Consider the following 19,548-nt stretch of genomic DNA (forward strand, 5'->3'; position numbering starts at 1 on the left):
CAGATGATTACAAAATAAGTAAGAAAACTTCAGAGTTTCTGACAAGTGCTAGGGAGAACATGAGCAGGAGTGAGGGCTCATGTCAGGACAGGGTGAAAGAGGGTGCAATTTGAGACTGGGTGATGTGGTGAGGTATCATTTGAATAAAGGATCCTGAGGGGAATTTATCTTTAAATGCTTGTCTTTTTTCGGTTAGTGTAAATATTAGTAGAAAGTGACTGAGGATTACCTCTGAAGTCTTTTTGAAACTTAGAAGGTAAAGCCAGCTTGCCAAAAATGATGAGAAGACAATGTAGCCCTGCTCTTGGATCCTGGTACCACTTGCCTGTGCAGTGGCACAATCATGAAGTTGAGTTCCATGGAAAAAGGAAGGGTACTTGGTATCATGTTGTGCACACAGTGAGTGCTCAGTAACTGCTGTTCACTCGTAGATAAGGTCCGTGGTCTTGGATTCAGATCTAAAAGTAATGTTTTTGACAAAAATACTTTCTCCATATTTTTGTATCTCTTCCAGGGGTCTTTGAGTAGATATAGCATACCAGCAGTCCCCAACCCGTTTGGCACCAGGGACCAACGAGTTTTGTGGAAGACAGTTTTTCCATGGACCGGGATGGCAGGGTGGGGATGGTTTCGGGATGAAACTGTTCCACCTCAGATCATCCAGCATTGGTTAGATTCTCATAAGGAGTGAACAACCTAGATCCCTCACATGTGCAGTTCACAATAGGGTTTGCACTCCTATGGGAATCTAATGCCGCTGCTGATCCTACAGGAAGTGGTGCTCAGGTGGTAATGCTTGCTCACCTGCAGCTCCCCTCCTGATGTGCAGCCTGGTTCCTAACAGGCCACCGACCAGTACTGGTTCGTGACCTGGGGACTGGGGACCCCTGATAGAGACAGATGAGACATCACAGATAGTTTCTGGAATTTATCAAGCCATATCTATCCACAATACCATCCCTAAATTCCCCCATCATCGATGTAAATATCTTTAATCTGTCTTTATTTATGACTGTCCTCAAATATTCAATGTAATATGTTAATGGGCTGTCTTCATTTCTTCTATCACATTCCCTTTTCTCTAAGAGGAGACATCCATCTGTACCATTAAACACTGTGCATTTTTATCCTCTCACCCTTCCTTCCTCCTTCCCTTTATCCCGCCTTTTCTTCTTTCCAATATCTATGTTGTACAAAGCATGGTATATTCCATAGGCCCCATCTTAACTGCACTAAAAAATTAATTATTGAACAGGTACTGCTAGAAGCACTGAAAAGAAGAGCATGGAAAGTGACTCAAGGTGAAGGGAGGATATATCATTTCCTTCTGTCTTTTGTCACCATTGTTGAGATGGCAGCTACTACCCATCATATTTGCTAAAGGGGAATAGTGATTACCAAACTCCTCCTGGTTTTAAGGGTGAAGTTAAAGTAACTGGGATAAAATAAAATAAATTAATTATTGAACAGGTACTGCTAGAAGCACTGAAAAGAAGAATGAAAGGATGTGAAAGTCAGTAGTGTTACATATGAGAGAAAATACATATTAGAGAAAATATGTAACTCTACTGACTTTCACATCCTTTCATTCTAAGTCGAATACCGTATGTGAATACTGCTATTAATGGCATTCCCTTCTATCTGTTGTACCCAAGAGTCTACAGGTCCTTTTTACATGTATAATATCTCATATAATCCTCTAAATCTTTGTTTCTCAAATGTGGTCCTCAAACCAGCAGCACTAGCATTTCCTGGGAGTTATTGGAAATGCAGAATCTCAGGCTCCGCTGCAAGCCTCCTGAACCAGATTGCATTACAACAAGGTCTTCAGGTGCTTTGTGCACACATAGAAGTTTGATAATCTCGGCTTCCAGTCAACCTGAAAGGCAATTAAAAATTCCCTTTCACGTTTTACAGATTAAACACACACACACAAAAAACTCAGTTTCAGAGATGTTTAATTAGCAAGTAGGTAACAGGACGTGGAGTCAAAGGCCAATATTCTTTCCACCACCCTATGCCCCCTCTTTGGATGCTACTAGAAAAAAACTACCGCATACCTCCTTTGGGGTCTGACGTCACTGAGGCCAGTATTTCGTAAGTAGCATTTACACAATAATTATAGCCTGATATTGTCCCCTGGTGGTAAGTAGGCCGATGCTAATCTCTTGCTGGATCATACATTCCTTATATAGGCTATTCTTGTCACCTGTTGCCTAAAAGGCCTCAGGTTAATTACATGAAACAAGTTTCATATTTAGAATGTTATCCAGTTTTCTGTAATTACTTACCAAAGAACATTTCACTGGTTAACAGTTTTTGAGGTTTCCATTGCAAATTTTCTTTCCTAAGCAGACTTTTAAGTGATCTATCTGACCACCTTAAAATGAAAGGGAAAGGCAACTAACGTGTCACACGCATTTCCTTGTGTACCAAGCTTGGTGCTTTGTATGTGTTGTCTCTTGATCTTTACAGAGACTTATCCATTTTACAGATGTGGAAGTCGAGATTCAAAGATGACACAGGTAGCAATGCTGGCCATGAAGCTAAAGTGTCATACCGTGCTGGCCTCTTCCTAAAAGTGAGTCTTGCCTGAATTAGCATGGAAAGTGACTCAAGGTGAAGGGAGGATATATCGTTTCCTTCTGTCTTTTGTCACCATTGTTGAGATGGCAGCTACTACCCATCATATTTGCTAAAGGGGAAAAGTGACTACCAAACTCCTCCTGGTTTTAAAGGTGAAGTTAAGTAACTGGGATAAAGTAAAAACAGAGAGGAACCAACTAGAAGGATACAAACTGAGTATGCAGAATCACCCAAAAAGGATTAATCAGCAGAGGAATGTTGCTGGCTAATATTCTTTGAGAATTCCATATCAACACCATATACATTGGCTAAAATCCAGACATATAATCTAAGCAAGGCCCTCTAAACTGGTGAGTTTTAAATTCCTTATGTTTAACAGAGAAGCAGCAGGAGGCCGCCTTATTCTTTAAGAAAGAGGAGGAATGAATAGATTCCTCAAGCTGATAGAGCTGAGAAAGGCATCTCCTAGGCTCTTGCATCACTTATGTTAATATGCAGGTCCTCAGAACTGCAGCTTTCTCATGAACATTGTACTGGAAAGTTCTCCTGTTACTCTCTGGGAATCTGCAGACAGTTCATGTGGAAGTCTCTCTCCCAGTCTGAAAGAATTAAATAGAATATTATAATTACTCAGAGTTTAATATATGCTACAACTGTTTTTGCCGGCTTGGCGTTTAAAGATGCAAATGTTCCAATCGCTTCTAGAAACATGACATTATAAAAGGGACTACCGTAATTAGGAATAAAAACTGTTCAGTCCTCATTAACCAGAAAAGCAGTTTCTAAACCCAGGGAGGCTCTACTTTTATTCCAAGAAAAGTCAGGAAGATGGCGCCGCAAGAGCCTAATAATGATTTTGGGTCAACTTGTGCTCACTGCAGTTGACTAGGATCCATGTGAAATGATTTTTAAAAGGCAATGAACAACAAATACTTCTAACAGAAGAAAACTAATCAGAGAAAAGCCTGAAGAATAATCTTAAGCACACTCTTCTTTAAAGTTTCACTATTATTTTATTCTTGATTGCCCAAATTCATTCAGCCTTAATGCATTGTTAAAGAGCCTGTCCTATTAGCCAAGGATGTTATGGTAACTGGTTGTAAGGCTACTGTTCTCCTCGTTACAACATCTGACTAGAAAAGTGCTTTCTTAATTGAGGCTGAGAGTGATAATTCCCTGGTGACTCAAAATAGTTAAGGAGTGTGTATAAAACTGAGCACAGGCTAGTCTCGAAGATGATGGCAGCCTTTACTTTGGTTCTTTAATCTCCGCATCCATTTCTGTCCTGCCAGAACTGTCTACACTGAGGCCTCACTGTGGCATTAGTCACGGTAAGAGCCAAATGTGTTCTTAGCCTGTGCCTTTTTAATACCTGTCGAAGGGAATTTGGTCACTGAAATCACAAGTGAGCCATGTTATAAGGTGTTTAACTGTGAGGCAGTCTCCCACACAGGAGGAAGGCAAGAACATTTGGAAGGAATGTGATTTATTTATGTTTTCTGCACAGGTACTTGTGACGTGTCTGCTTCTGAGAAAAGCAACGTCCGTAGATTGCAGATAGATAGCACATTATCTAGCCCTCATTCTTTCTTTTAGCTGAAGTTCTTATCACCTATGTTTCAAAACCTAATTAAGCGATGGTTCATTCATAACTAAAGGATGCTGGACAGGAACTAGGCTCCAGTCTCTTCTTTGTCAATAACGAGCGCTGTGGCTCTCAGCAAACTAGCTCTCCAGTGGGACTCTGTTGCTTTGTCTTGTAATAATAACAGTTCTATTTATTAAAGTTTTTCTCTGCAGTAGGGGCTTTAATAAGCACTTTAACTAGATTATTTCATTTAAACCTCATAATAACCCAATGGGTAGGTTCTATTTTAGCCTCCGTTCGGCAGATGAGGGAGTTGAGGCATAGAAAGCTGAAGAGTTTGTCCAAAGTGACACGACTTGGACATGAAAGAGCCAGGATTTGGTTACGTTTCTGCTGAACCTAGAGACTGCATGTTTATCTTATTGCCAGAATACTCCACCCAAGAATTTGTGGGGCAGGGAGATTTTCCTGCCCCACAAATTCTTAATTGTACTTAGAAATGAGTTGGCTTCACTCATGTAGCATGTCTATGCTGCCATATGTAATTTGATTTTTTTAATTTTTTTAATTTTTCTTCTTGTTTTCCCAACCAGAGTAAAATGTCCAGATGAGTTAGTGGAAAGACTACTTCCTATAGGATAATGAGTGAGGTTATCTGCCCTTATAAATTCCTTCCTTTATAAATAGAGATAATAATGCCTGGCTTATAGTGTTTTGATGCTTTAAGTACAAAATGGCTATAAGATGGATAGCAGCACTATATAAAGAGAATTTGTTTCTCGTATTTTAAAATATCAGCTCTCTTGGGAAAGACTCCTTCTTAAACAATGTATTTGCCAGGTCATGTCGTGTTGTGAGATGCTAAAGTAGAAGCATTGATCATTACTTTGTGGTTTTTCAATTTAGAAAATAATTCTTAAACACGCTCTTATTTATCTTTGCACTATTAATTAACGTAACAGGAAGAACAGTTTAATGGTGAATGTGAAACCTTTATTGAGTATCTAAATTTGTCCTAGATGTTAGCTTATTGAATTTTCACCATTGCTCTATGAGAAAAATGTGAGAAAACCGAGACTCAGAGATGTTAGGTAACTTCCACAGGACATACAGCTTTTTGTTGAGAACTGGCACTGAGTCAGAGTTTTATTTCTCTCCAGAGACCAGTTTCCACCATGTCATATTGAAGATAGGAATATTCTTTAAGATTTTTGTGCTTAAATATCTGTGTGTGTATTGTTCATGTACCATTTTACTAAAATATGCAACTGAATAGCCAACATTTTCATCATAAATATTATGATGATAAAATATTATAACTTAAAATCATAAAAGTACATATTGGAAAAGACCTTAAAATCAGCAAGCTCAACAAGTGATTCATTGCTTTTCCAGCTGGTGCTTGGACATTGCCTGCGATGTAGAACTCACTGCCTCAGGGACAAACAATTTCATCTTTAACATTTACAGAGTATTACCACTAGACTGTCCATCAGGGATCTCAAATGTAACATGTTCAATACTTAATTCGTAAAGTTGTTTCATAATTTTGTTTCTAGTTAATTGAGGAGCTGGGCTTACCAGAAAAGAGCAGGCAGTAATGAGGATAACATTATTCCATCAATAATTAACCACAGATTATATTTTAAGCATTCATTTTTATTTTATTACTAAGGCCAAAGAAAGAGGTCAGTAAAAATTGTTACCTTATCTCCTTGGGATTTTCCAAGATCACCTTGTTAGAGCTTAATGCTCCATTTATGTTAGAAGACAATTGCGTCAGTCAGAGTTCCAAGCAAAAAGCAGCTGGTACATTCAAAAGGGTTTGAGGCATGTTAATGAAGGGACATTTACAAAGGTGTGGGCAGAGTTCAGGGAAATTAACAGAGTAGTTGTTCACCACTGCAAGCATTTCAAGGATATCAATGGTGGAGAACCATCAGCAGCTGTAGGCATGAGAGAGTGAGAAAGGAGCAGGTATCAGAACCCAGGGCAAGTGATGATACAAAATGACACCCCATCCCCTGCCTCCAGAAAAACTGTGGCCTCGGGAGGAGGCATGCTGCCTGGAAGCTCAACCAGGAGAACAGATACCCTGACCCCACTGTCTCCACCACCCGCAGAGCTCCTGTTGGTGGCTGAGTTCTCGCTGCTACTAATTGGAAGACAGAAGACAAGATTCCTTAGTAACACAGCCCAGGACACAGTATTACATGTCGTCCAATACATTACCTGAGTCTTTTCTCTTCCTACTCCTCTCTGGACACTTATCCCTACCATATTCTCCCATTTCTATCTCCCAAATCAGCAACAGGAAGGCTAACTAGTTTGAAAGTAGCCTTAGATAATGAAGAGAAATAATAATCCTACAGATCTAGGAGGTTTTGCCATGTGACAATGTTAGCATGTATCTCTTGGATTGAACAAATTAATTCTAAAAGAAATTTTACGACCTTTCTTCCATATTTTTGTATCATAATTAGCAGACCAAACTGGCTGATATGCATGTATAAATTTTATACGCATACCAATGTGTATTAGAGACTATTTAGTGTTCACACATCAAATAAACTTTTTTCTTTTGCTCTGATTCCTTTCTGAGACTTATCTAACTATTCGTTGTTAAAGCCTTTATTAAGCTTTAAACACTGGTAATGTAAGTTCTAATCTCTGAATTACTAGCCTAATTGCTTTATCCCTATCCTCAATATCTTCAAAGCCTTGCCTTTTGGGAATTATGTCTTGACTAAAAGTTCTCTGAGACTAAAATTTTCTGAGCAAGCAGTCTCAGAACCAGATTTTCCAATGGGATCTGTTTACATCATTGAAGATGAGAGGTCTGATGAACAGAATTTATATCAGATAAGCCACGTACATTGTGAGAAAAAAGGACATCCTTTATTTTATTGTAGAACCCTTGAGATGGAGTTGACACAACTTGAAAGACAAGTTCAAATAAACTTTTGGACCCATTTTTCTTGAATGTTGATGTGACAGTCTCTTCATAGGTGTTTTGAGCTTGAGATAGCTTTTCAATTCATTTAAATCACATATTGGTTTACCCCACTGTGCACATTACAACAGATCTGACAGTGAAACATCAGTTAAAACCGACACACCTTGGTGATAAGAATGACAGATTTTTATGCGCATGAGCAGAATGAGGGCAATGTTTTGTCTTAAAAAACAGCTAAGGCATCAGCAAGTTAGGCAGTGAGGTCTTCAGAGTTTCCTAATTCTCTAACATGTGTTTATTTTTACCCCTTGATGTTAGCAGTGTGGCAGGTACACTGAGAAATAAGCCTTTTAAAGTCATATACTTTATTCAAGTATTTATTGAACCTCTTCTTTGAGGCAAACGTGGCAACAGAGGTGGGACATGAAATTGGAAATAAAACATCATCCCTCTCCTTAAAGAACTGGTAGTTTAGATAGGTGACAGTGTCACAACAAAATGAGGGGAACTTCTGGAAGCAGAATGTTGTCAGAGACTCTGTTCCAATGGCGTCTTTTTATTTGTTTAGTGCCATAGCCACTAAGCAGGCAAGGACCCATGAGACAGTAGGTGAGAAGGTACTGGGGTTATACATGTGCCATGGGCTTAGCAAATCACGACTATTGTGACTACCAATTGGTCCTGTCTCAGAAGTAGTATTACATGCATCTCATTCTCCCATCCTCATGATACTGTGTGGTCCGGATCCTCATTAGTTCTCAGGTTGAGCAGTTGCAACTGACCGCTATCCAGCTTCCTGGTTTAATACTCAAGATTACCTTCTATTTACTCTTCTTAAATCTATTCTCTGCCACCCCTGGAATAATCTTTGTAAAATGTGAATCTGGTAGTCACATTTCCCTTTTTAAATGGCTTTACAATTTCCCATGTCCACCAAGATAAAGTCCGAACTTGCCAATGAGCTCCACGGTGATCTGATTCCTATAGACTGCTCCAACACCTTCCCATGGCCTTTCCATGGATCCTGCCATAGTGACCTAAGGGTTCACCAAACTCAACTTCTGCTTCATGCTTTAATGCCTCCATGTCTCTGTGCATGGTGTTGGTCTGCCTGGGCCAGACTTCCCCTTTCCTTTTTTAACTGTACTCCTGTTCTAGAGGTCTAGCTCAAGTTCTCCCCATCTCTATCACCACCTCTCAAAAACACCATCATCTATTCCTGCAAACGCTTCCTAACTTCTACTTCACTCCCCATCCACTCTTGCCCCTTCCAGTCCATTCTTGACTGCTAGGATAAAGATAACCATTATCCATCCCTACTCCTATCACCCATAGGATAAAGAGCAATATCCTTATCAGGGCCTATGTAGGAGGCCCTACCAGGCCCTGCTTGTCTCTCCAGCCTCATCTCCTCTTTGTGCAGCTTGCTCCAACCACAACTACCTTATATTGCATGTCCTTGAATGCCCTTGAATGTCATATTTCCTCTGCCATAGGCTTTGCACATGCTGATCTCTCTTCTCAGATTGCTTGCCCACCTCTCCTACCCATTCCACAGATCTCAGCTCAAAAATTGCTCCGAGAGGCCGGGCGCGGTGGCTCACGCCTGTAATCCCAGCACTTTGGGAGGCCGAGGCGGGCGGATCACGAGGTCAGGAGATCGAGACCATCCCGGCTAAAACGGTGAAACCCCGTCTCTACTAAAAATACAAAAAATTAGCCGGGCGTAGTGGCGGGCGCCTGTAGTCCCAGCTACTTGGGAGGCTGAGGCAGGAGAATGGCGTGAACCCGGGAGGCGGAGCTTGCAGCGAGCCGAGATCCCGCCACTGCACTCCAGCCTGGGCGACAGAGCGAGACTCCGTCTCAAAAAAAAAAAAAAAAAAAAAAAAGAAAAAAAAATTGCTCCGAGAAGCAAGCCTTCTCTGAACCTTAGTCTAGACTAAGTTTCTTTACTCTGCATTTTCATAGAAAGTATTTCTTTACTTCATAGAATTCACCTCAGTCTGCAGTTGGTTGATGACTTGGTTAGTGTCTATCTCCATCCCAAAATCGTTTCATGAAAGATGAACAGCATCTGTTTTTGTCTATCACTGAATTCCTAGCCTAGCACAGTGCCAGTCACAAAAGGGGCACTCAAAAAATTTTTAAACAATGGATCAATCAGTCCACTAAGGCTCTTGCTCAGTTGCTTCATTTGAAAAGCCTTGATACCATCATCACCACTATCATCTTATATACCTTCTTTGGAAAAATGTCTATTCAATTTCTTTGCCTATTTTTTAAGTGGGTTGTTTTTATCTTTTTGTTGTTGAGTAGTAAGCATTCTTTTATATTCTGGATACTAGGCTCTTATCAGATATATGATTTGCAAGTATTGTCTCCTATTCTGTGCACTCTCTTTTCACTTTCTTGATAGTGTCCTTTGAAGCACAAAAACGTTTAATTTTGATGAAGTTCCATTTATTCCTTTTTTCTTTTGTTGCTTGTGCTTTTTGTGTCATACGTAAGAAACCATTGCCAAATACAAGATCATGAAAATTTACCCCTATGTTTTTGATCCATAAAGTTCTTTTGACTTTTAAAATTCTATAAGATAAGTCAATACTGGTCGCCTATTACACACAAAGAACTATTGGGATTTCAGGGGAAACTGGATATTGGAGACTCAAGCATCAGAATGGATAAGGCATCATTTTAGTGTTAGAATCAGATCCCAAGATGGAAACTTCAGAAATGCCAGGATGTGCAGGATGTGATTGAGTTATATGTAGACAAAGAGATTTGGGATAGAAGTGTTTAAATATAGAGTCCAAGGTAACTTAACAGACCTCTAATTAAAACAATGAAAGCAAAATTCCGAAATACATAAAGGCAAATAATAAGCTCTGAAGAAAACTGGAAAAAGTCTGACAAATTCCAAGCCTTGCTTGAACTAAAGAACACAATGCTATTTGTGTAGAGGGAAAATGTTAACAAATGCTACATAAAGTTGTGGCCTGAATATAGAAAAAGCCATCCTAGATAGTTCAGGAAAAGGAAAAAACTTAGTTTCTAATTTAGCTCTAAGCAAGATAAGAGAAAGACTTGCCTGATACATAGTAAATGCTAAGTAAAGAGTTTGTTGGATGTAAAATAAAATTCCTGAAAGAATAATGGAATATCCTGTGCAGAGTAAATGCTCAATCATGTATTTGTTGAATAAAAAGTAAAACTTATAGAAAATAAGTGAATTTGATGTGACCGATATAAATGCTCCTCCATTGAGAAATGACATTTCAAAGTAAATTGTTAATCAAGAATAAGTAAATAACCACATTTCATAGAGTGGCATCTCTGAAAAGAAACAAAAAGAAAAGAAGGAAGAAAGCAAGCAAGTAACTAACCTACTTGTGAGTCTATAGGCATGATGTTAGGCCAAAAAAAAAAAAAACAACTGTCTTGTGAAAGATAAATTATTCAGACCACAGGGATATAGCCATTTACTACAGGAGGAGGAAAAAACAAAATCATAATAATAGTCTAGTGTTATTCTTATTTAAATATGTTAACTTAGAATAAACATACTATTTCCTTCTCTCTTCCCTTCTCTCCTGTCCTCTCCTACGGGCTCCTCTCCACACCTTTTCTATCTTCCTTTTGTGTTCTAAAGAATCTTTTAGCAATAACAGGACAAGGATAAAGATATGGGAGTGATATTGTTTATTACCTGTGAACAGTAGTTTATACTACTGTTAATAATCGTGTATATATACCAGGTTTCTGTTTTGTTGAATTAATTAAGGCAGAGAAGTCAAATAATAACCCCTTAAAACATTCTGTATCACGACCTTGGTGGTGGTTTCAGTACTCCACAGATTTGTCAGAACTCATCAAATTTTACACTTAAGTATATATTATACCTCAATAAAGCTGACAAAAAGGAAATAGAAAGGTCAACCATAAGCAGCTTAATTGTGCAGGAAGAAGCGGCCTACTGCCCTCCAGCTGGAGAAGTTTTACCAAGCCTAGACAGTCCTGCAGGATGGCATTTACCATGGAAAAAGTGGAGAGATGTTATTAACAAGCACATCACAGAATTCAAGTAGATTTTACAGTCTCTGATTTGGTCTTGGAAACCAAGTCATGTGCCTTAGCATAAAAATGAAAATGGCAGTAACAACCAAAATTCAAGGGATTTTGAAAATTATGAGCATAGGATCAACATGGTGAAAGATAGAAATTTGACATTTAGCTTTCTGCTTAAAAACATTCCAGTTTTTAACAAAGATCAGTAATATAAAAATGGTAGATGATACCATCTCATACCCATTAGAATGGCTACTATCAATTAAAAAAATAAAAACCAGAAACCAGAAAATAACAAGTGCTGAAAGGATGTGGTGAAATTGGGAACCCTTGGGTGCTGGAGGTAGGAATATACAGTGGTATGGCCATTATGAAAAACAGTATGGCAGTTCCTGAAAACACTGAAAATAGAATTATGATATGATCCAAAGATTTCGCTTCCAGGTTTATACCCAAAAGAATTGAGAGCAGGAACCAGAACAGGTATCTGTAAACCTGTGTTCATAGCAGCAGCATCATGTGCAATTGCCAAAAAATGAAAGCAACCCAAGTATTTATTAACAGATGAAGAGGTAAGCACAAGGTTGTATATACATAAAATGGAATGTTATTCAGCCTTAAAAAGGAAGAAAATCCTGTCATATGCTACAATATGCAAGAAACTTGAGGGGATTATGCTCAGTGAAATCATCCACTCACAGAAAGACAAACACTCCATGATTCCACTTATATGATACCTAGAGTAGTCAAAATCACAGAGATGGAAAGTGGAAAGGTGATTGCCAGGGTTGTTGTAGGGGAAGGGGAGACATGGGAGGGAGAAGATTGGAAGAGACTTCTGTTTTCTCTAGAGAGGGAGGATTCAAGCAGGCGGCTTGCATGGGATTGTAGACTCAACTTTTCAATGCCTCTTCCATTCCTCCAATGATAAAAGGAGGCACTTGGTAATTAAAAGACTCCCTAGCTGTTGAACAGAAGTAACAAATAGCAACATGAGGAAAGGAACAACAAAGAAAGTGGCTGAGAAGAGCAGGAAGTTCACAAAAGCAAAGCTACAAACCATTTTATGAGTGGGAGAAGGAAATGGTGAATTCAAAAGTTGTAAAACAAAGGAGTGACAAAACATCTGAGCAAGAAAGAACAAGATATTCTACAGAAACATGCTGGGGTCTGGGGTTTTTAGCTGATGAACAGAGCTATTGACTGGCCAACATTTTATTGAAAAACACCATGTTTTCCATAGGTATCCAACGTTTATTGCCTAAGTGTTAGTTCTGGGGATACACCCAGCAAATTATAATATTCATAAGCAGATATTTTGTAAATGGAAGTCATGGATATGCCCACAGAAACCAAAAAGCAGAAAGTCACATTGTCCAGATTAATATATTTTGAGATTCTTTTTAATGAAAATTCTTATTTATTTTGTGTCAGAAGAACACCAGGGAATAAAATTATTTTGAAAAGAGGCTAGGTGGAGTACAATTCATAGTCTTCCTCAAAATGGGGAAAAAGGTAATTGTATCCAAACAAATTTTTATATCTAGTTATTTGAGGTAGTACTTAAGTCTTTCCTAAAATGATTATTCAGGGAAAATTATTCAGTTGGGATTATCCTTACTTTCTATAACTCCTTTTTTTTTTTTCCTGGTATGTGGCTTTAAGCCAGTCCTCTGATTCTTAGAATGCTCCAAAAAAACAAAACAAAACAAAAAAAAAAAAAAAAAGAATTAAGGAAAAGGAAAGAAAATTCAAATAAGTCAATGGGGCTGCTTGGCAGTAGTGAACAAAAAGCATGTGATTAGGAAGGGGCTGAAATGAACTAAAAGCAAGGCAACTGCTTTTTTCAATAATACTATTTCTATCCTCCATTTCCATAGAAGAAAGCAAGCTAAAATGGTATAACAAAAATAGTGAATATTTATCAGACTAAGTGTATGATGTGCCAAGGCCAGTCCTAAGTGCTTTGTATGTACAAACTCATGTAATATTCACAGCAACCCTGTAAGGAAGATATCCGTAAGAGCCGATTGTTACACTTTCAGGAATTTTGTGAGCCTGTTATTGGTAGCTTGAAATCAGTCATTGTGGCAGTACTTACATCATGGAAATTAAAATATGCTACAAATCCGAGACTTTAGGGTGAGAGCCGTTTGTTAAACATCTTCCAGAACAAAACTGCTATTGCCTTCATTCACAGATGGGTAAACTGGGGCACAGAAAAATTGAGTAATTTGCCCGTAATCATGCAACTAGTAGTTGGTGGAGTTGAAATTTTATCCTAGGCAACACCACCTGGGAGCCCAAGCTTTCAGTCATCATGTTACACTGCTTATGATATGACTAAAATGCATTGGCTAGATTTACAAAGCCTGGGTCCCAATTTGGACTCGTCTGGTACTCACTGTTAAAGCTGTCTGTCTCAAGACATTTCATAAGAGAATGCTTCACATTTATCTCTGCTATATCATAAATAAAATATATTATGTGAAAATGCAAAATAAGCCTTGATTCTTTTCATTCCTTTCTTTCCTTTTCCTTTCTTCTTCTTTCTCCTTCCCTTCCCTTCTCTTTTCTTTCCCTCCCTCCCTCTCTCCTACCCTCCCTCTTTTCTTTCCTTCTTTCCTCTTTTCTTTCCTTTTTTCTCCTTCCTTCGTTCCTTCCTTCCTCCCTCCCTCCCTCCCTCCCTTCCTCCCTCCCTCCCTCCCTTCCTCCCTCCCTTCCTCCCTTCCTCCTTTCCTTCCTTCCAACACTGATTATGTCTATGGTATTGAGTAGGATGTATGTGAATCTTGCGGGACTTTTGGCAGCATTTAAGGAGGACTGGAGTGAATTTTCTCCCTAATGCTTTCTCATTATCATAGAAAGCAGAACAGCTGTGCTGACAATGGGCACCATCATCATTAATAAATATTTATTGAGCGCGCCCTTTGTCCTGAACTCTGAGGACATATTAAGGTAGAAGATAACCGTCTTGGAGCTTGTCAAGCAGAGTGTTCTCTTCTCTTTCTGCCTCTAGCTGCATCTCTACCAACAGTTGGATCTCCATCGCTCTGAGAATCATCATGGTTTCAGGTTTCACCAGGAGACTCTGGTCTCTGGGCTTCTTTAATTATCTCTTGGTTTCTCAAAGCCTAGAGGGGATGACTGACACCTTACTGTTGCTACTCAATTCTTTATTTAAGTTCTTAGCTCTTTCATCATCTATGTAACCAATTCCCTGAATTAAATTCCTTCTGTTTTCCTGGTTGGACCCTGACTGATACAATTCACTGTATAAGTATGTGTATAACAGGTCATGATACATAATACATTTCTTACTTTGAGCAGTTAATAAAAGTTTGCACATTAGCATGCAATGGATGGTGCTGAGCCCATTTCTTTAGTTGGTCACTGACGGCTATCAGTGAGTTGCAGAACATGATCTTGGAGACATTTTTCTTCTTCTTTTAAGGAAAACTGTTATATAGTAAATGGTTTACTGACTGGGAATGTGGACACCACCATTCTAATCTTAGTGGGTGATCTTGGGTAATCCATTCAAACATGTGTTCCAGTGTATTATGTTTACTTTATGCATGGAACCAGAGGTTCTGAGATTGATATGTATTTTTTAAACCAGTGGTTATTATAAGAACTTTCAATGGTACCATTTTAAGTAAGACTGATACATAGTCTGCAATAGCTTAAAGACCAGTGATGATAGCATTTGAAGGCTGTTTAAAAGAATAGTCATTTATTTAGAACATTAAATTATGCTTTCACTATTATTTTCCTCAATTAGTAAGTAGTTATTTATGATGTTAGCATTAGAAATAATAGCTCAACATTCTGGTCTTAAGTTCTTGGGAACATAATTGACATTGATATGGGCCAAGAGAACTGCAGAATATTAGGTAACTGTGGCTACAGGTAATGTCAGTTGATAAATGTCATCATAAAATCTACCCCTGATAAGTGGATATATTTTTAAAGTATTTTAATAAAATATAGGTAAAGGTGAGGTCAACCTCTTTAAGATTCAAATATACCCTCCAACCCTAAGTCCTAAGTATTAAACAACCACCACAAAGTTGTATATTGTAATGTTTTTAATCTGATCAGAGAATTCCTTGTTTTCCCCATATTTAAGGAAAGTCTGCTATTGAAAGGTTCCAAATAGTCTTAATAATAAAATTCCAACAGGTATCACAATGTCTCTGGTTAAGATAAGCAATTGAATATGCACAGTTCCAGATCAAATGTGAGCTTTTCCTTTATGCCCAACACTCACTGAAGTCAGTGACTGTTCAGTTGAGTTTATCTGGAGGGGAGATAAAAGTTTCCTGCCTAGCATTAAACCTTGCCCCATGCAGAATCCAGATGCTTGCAACCCTTTCCTGAAACTTCTTATATTTGTTTTATATATTCATTACTTTCTGGCTGGTAACACCATTGAAAACTAAAATAAAGTCATACCGTTGTGGAATGTATTTTGTCCCTACCTGTGGAGAAACTAACTTTATTTTTCTCCAAAGCAGAATATTTATTTTGGGTTTTTAAAGAGTCATCTAATATAATTTCAATAGCTGTATCTGCTTTGATATATTCCTGGCTTATTTTCTACTCATCTCTTGAATTTACATAGAACTTCAAGTGTAGAAAACAGGACTGAAAAAAGACAATAGTGAATTGTGCTTTTGTGTACTGAACTTGAAGTAAGAATCTGGTGGGTGACATAACATAAGCCAAGCTGGAAAAGGGTCACACACCAACAAAAAGCAATGAATAGTAACTGAAAAGATAAGCCCAATAACAGCTGAAGGTGGTCAAAAAGTAAAATACTATAATAAAATATCATATAACAGCATGGGAGATGAATATATGGATTTAGCTGAGGGGCTTAGAGGTAAGCTACAGTGTTACATTGGTACCGAAGCACATTATCAATCAGAGAAGCACAGCACAGAACAAAGGGTAGCAGGTACAATGGCCAAACAAAAGTGAAAATATCTGAACAATTTACGACAGAAAATTTGAGAACCTGAATTCATGTTCTGATTCCTCATGTACAACTGCCCAAAGATGTGTCAAAACCTCAAAGATATATTGATGACAACACAAAAAATTCTTTCTAGTCTAGTCAACAATATATAATGCAGTATTATTGAGGAAATGCTTTAGAATAAACTTATCCTCAGAAAGCCCATCTCTGGAGATAAATGGAGTCCTTCTTTGGGCAGTTAGAATGCATTTGGTTTACCTAAAGAAACACTGAATTAGGATTTTAAAGGGTAGATATGTTTGGATATACAAAATGTGCACACTTAGTTTTATAAAAGTTATGGAGAGGATTAATTTCTTACCAGAAAATTATCCTAGGTTATTGAGGCTGCTGATACCTCTGGGTCAATGACTCTTACCCCTTTCCGGGAAGATCCCCTTGAGAATCTGATGAAATGTACAGACTCTGTCTGCAGAAAGCATACATTAACACGATCCTAGGATTTTGAACACAGTTTCAGGGGATTCTTAGATGTTCCAAAGATCATTTGTATTCCACCCCCATCAACCCTCCATCACGGATTAAGAACCCTGTACTGATGACAAATTTTGGGGCAGTTTTTACATGAGCAACACAGATTACTCTTGAGTGTGGAGTTCTACCAAGCTTAGTTAAAAATTCTGACTTCATCATTTAGTCATCTCCAAGTTGTTTAATCACATACCCCTTACAGTTAAAAAGCAAAAAAAAAAAAAAAAAAAAAAAAAAAAAAGATAGAGCATGATTTATGTATATTTACTCATAACACATGTATTCATTATTAATATATTATGTGCATTATAAAACATACACAAAATAAAAATTGTAAAAGAATAAGATGAATAGAAAATTTTCAATTATCTTGCTAAGCATGCTATCATACAATCAATAGTATCTCAAGGAAACATACATGCTTAGAACAGAATTAATCATTTATGAAAGTTAATATAAATCCAAATTTCAAATAGTCCTGGAAAATTATGAATGTTTTTGACCTATTTCTTTTTTTTCTCTTCTTTTTTTTTGGGGGGAGATGGAGATTTACTCTTGTTGCCCAGGCTGGAGTGCAATGGCGTGATCTTGGCTCACCGCATCCTCTGCCTCTCAGGCTCAAGCGATTCTCCTGCCTCAGCCTCCCGAGTAGCTGGAATTACAGACGTGTGTCACCACGCCCGGCTGATTTTGTATTTTTGGTAGAGACAGGGTTTCACCGTATTGCCCAGGCTGATCTCGAACTCCTTACCTCAGGTAATCCGCCCGCCTCGGCCTCCCAAAGTGCTGGGATTACAGGCGTGAGCCACAGCGCCCGGCCTGACCTATTTCTTGTTAGATCTCATTAGGCTGTCATTGTTTTAGTCCTCAATTTGGCTGGAAAAGAGTTCTCAGAGGTTAAACTGGCAAATTTGATCCTGATTTTCACCTGTGCTTATATTATTGGTATTATCTCAATTTTCTATTTCCTCACAGAAATTGTTTTTTAAGCCACGTGCTCCCCAAATAAGAGAGTTGATTGATATAGGCCGGGCACGGTGGCTCACGCCTGTAATCCCAGCACTTTGAGAGGCTGAGGTGGGCGGATCACGAGGTCAGGAGATCGAGACCAACCTGGCTAACACGGTGAAACCCCGTCTCTACTAAAAATACAAAAAATTAGCCGGGCGTGGTGGCGGGCGCCTGTAGTCCCAGGTACTCGGGAGGCTGAGGCGGGAGAATGGCGTGAACCCGGGAGGCGGAGCTTGCAGTGAGCAGAGATCAAGCCACTGCACTCCAGCCTGGGCAACAGAGCGAGATCTGTCTCAAAAAACAAAAACAAAAACAAAGACAAACAAAAAAAAAAACTAGATGATATAATCTTAAGAATTTATTTAACGTGGAACCTGTAAAATTAAGGCAATATCAATGCTTAAAAAGATGTCAATGACAATGAAAGAACCAGAAGGTGCCAGTATCACCCCTCTGCCTGTGGCGCTTTTTGTTTTTCAGTACTCTTCAGCTACACTACATGACACATGACCAGTTTACTTAGGGACCATGTAAAACACTCTAGGGTCAAGGGTCAATGAGTATAATAAATATACATAAAGCTCTTTTTTGTCCTTGCATCATTACTTTTTTCAATTATTAAAGAAAAAAGAAACAGATTTTCTTCTGTTCTTCCTATTTCACAGTAAATTGTCTTGGTCACTCCGCTTTGGAGATCCCTGCCTTAGGCAAATTACTTCCTGATTCTCAGTTTCCTCACCTGTAAAATGGAGATGAAGTCATAGATCTCGTAGGGTTAAATGGATTAAACAACATATGTACAAGTCTCTGTACAACTTCAGGCATGTAATTTAAAAGAGAAATAAAAAGGAGCTGCAATTATAATTGTGACTACTGTATTAAACAATTGCCATGTATGCATTCATGTTACTCCTAGCCTAATTTAAAAACAAACAAAACCTCTTGTCGGTGCTCTTTCTATGACTACAAGAGCTGTAGCTTCTCCTCATCTTCCCACATCCCCCCTCCCCAAAACAAAACAAAACAAAACCAAACAAAAACCAAACACATTTTCCAAGCGTTTTCAAGCCTTGGCAGATACTGTAAAGATTCGGAACACTTACTGATGTTGTTCATTAACATGATAATTACTAATAGTGAAGACCGGCTAAATTTTCTATGTCAGGTAATTTTATTATCTATCTCTCATCCTTTCCTTCAACAAAGTTTTTTTTTCTTTTCTTTTTTTAAATACAATGTGCTAGGTATCAGGGTAATTGCTGAGGTTTCAAAGATGAATCGAAACACCCTCCAGGCACTAACCATCTAGAGGACAACACCAAACAAATAATTGCATCAAAGTGATAAGTGCTATAATGGAGGCGCACACCGGTTGCTATGGGAGCAGAGTAGGACAAGCAGCTTCCTCTGCCTGGGGAGAACAGGGAAGACCACTAGAAGGATTCTGGGTCATAGTTGAGTTTTGAGGATGTGGGTTGAGGATCTGCACTTCAGTCAGAGGGGAGAATGTCCAATGTGGTCACTTAGGAACCAAACGGTAGACAGGTTTTCCCTGAGCCCAGGCATTTTTGGCGGCAGGGTCAACAACGCTGGTAGAGACCTGTCTATGCACAGCCTAGGATAACATGCCAAGAAGTTTGAAACTTACCGTAAAATGGATTGGGAATAGACAAAGGATTTTAAGCTAAAGAACGATATAATCATAAAGAGAATTGGGGGTGGTATTTTGGGGGAATGATTGTGAAAAACATAATTTATTGAACATGCCCATTAGAAAAAAAAGAGAGAGCGGGGTGTGGTGACTCACCCCTGTAATCCTAGCACTTT

Source organism: Homo sapiens, chromosome 9, assembly GCF_000001405.40.
Source record: "Homo sapiens chromosome 9, GRCh38.p14 Primary Assembly".
NCBI classification, from domain to species: Eukaryota; Metazoa; Chordata; class Mammalia; order Primates; family Hominidae; genus Homo; species Homo sapiens.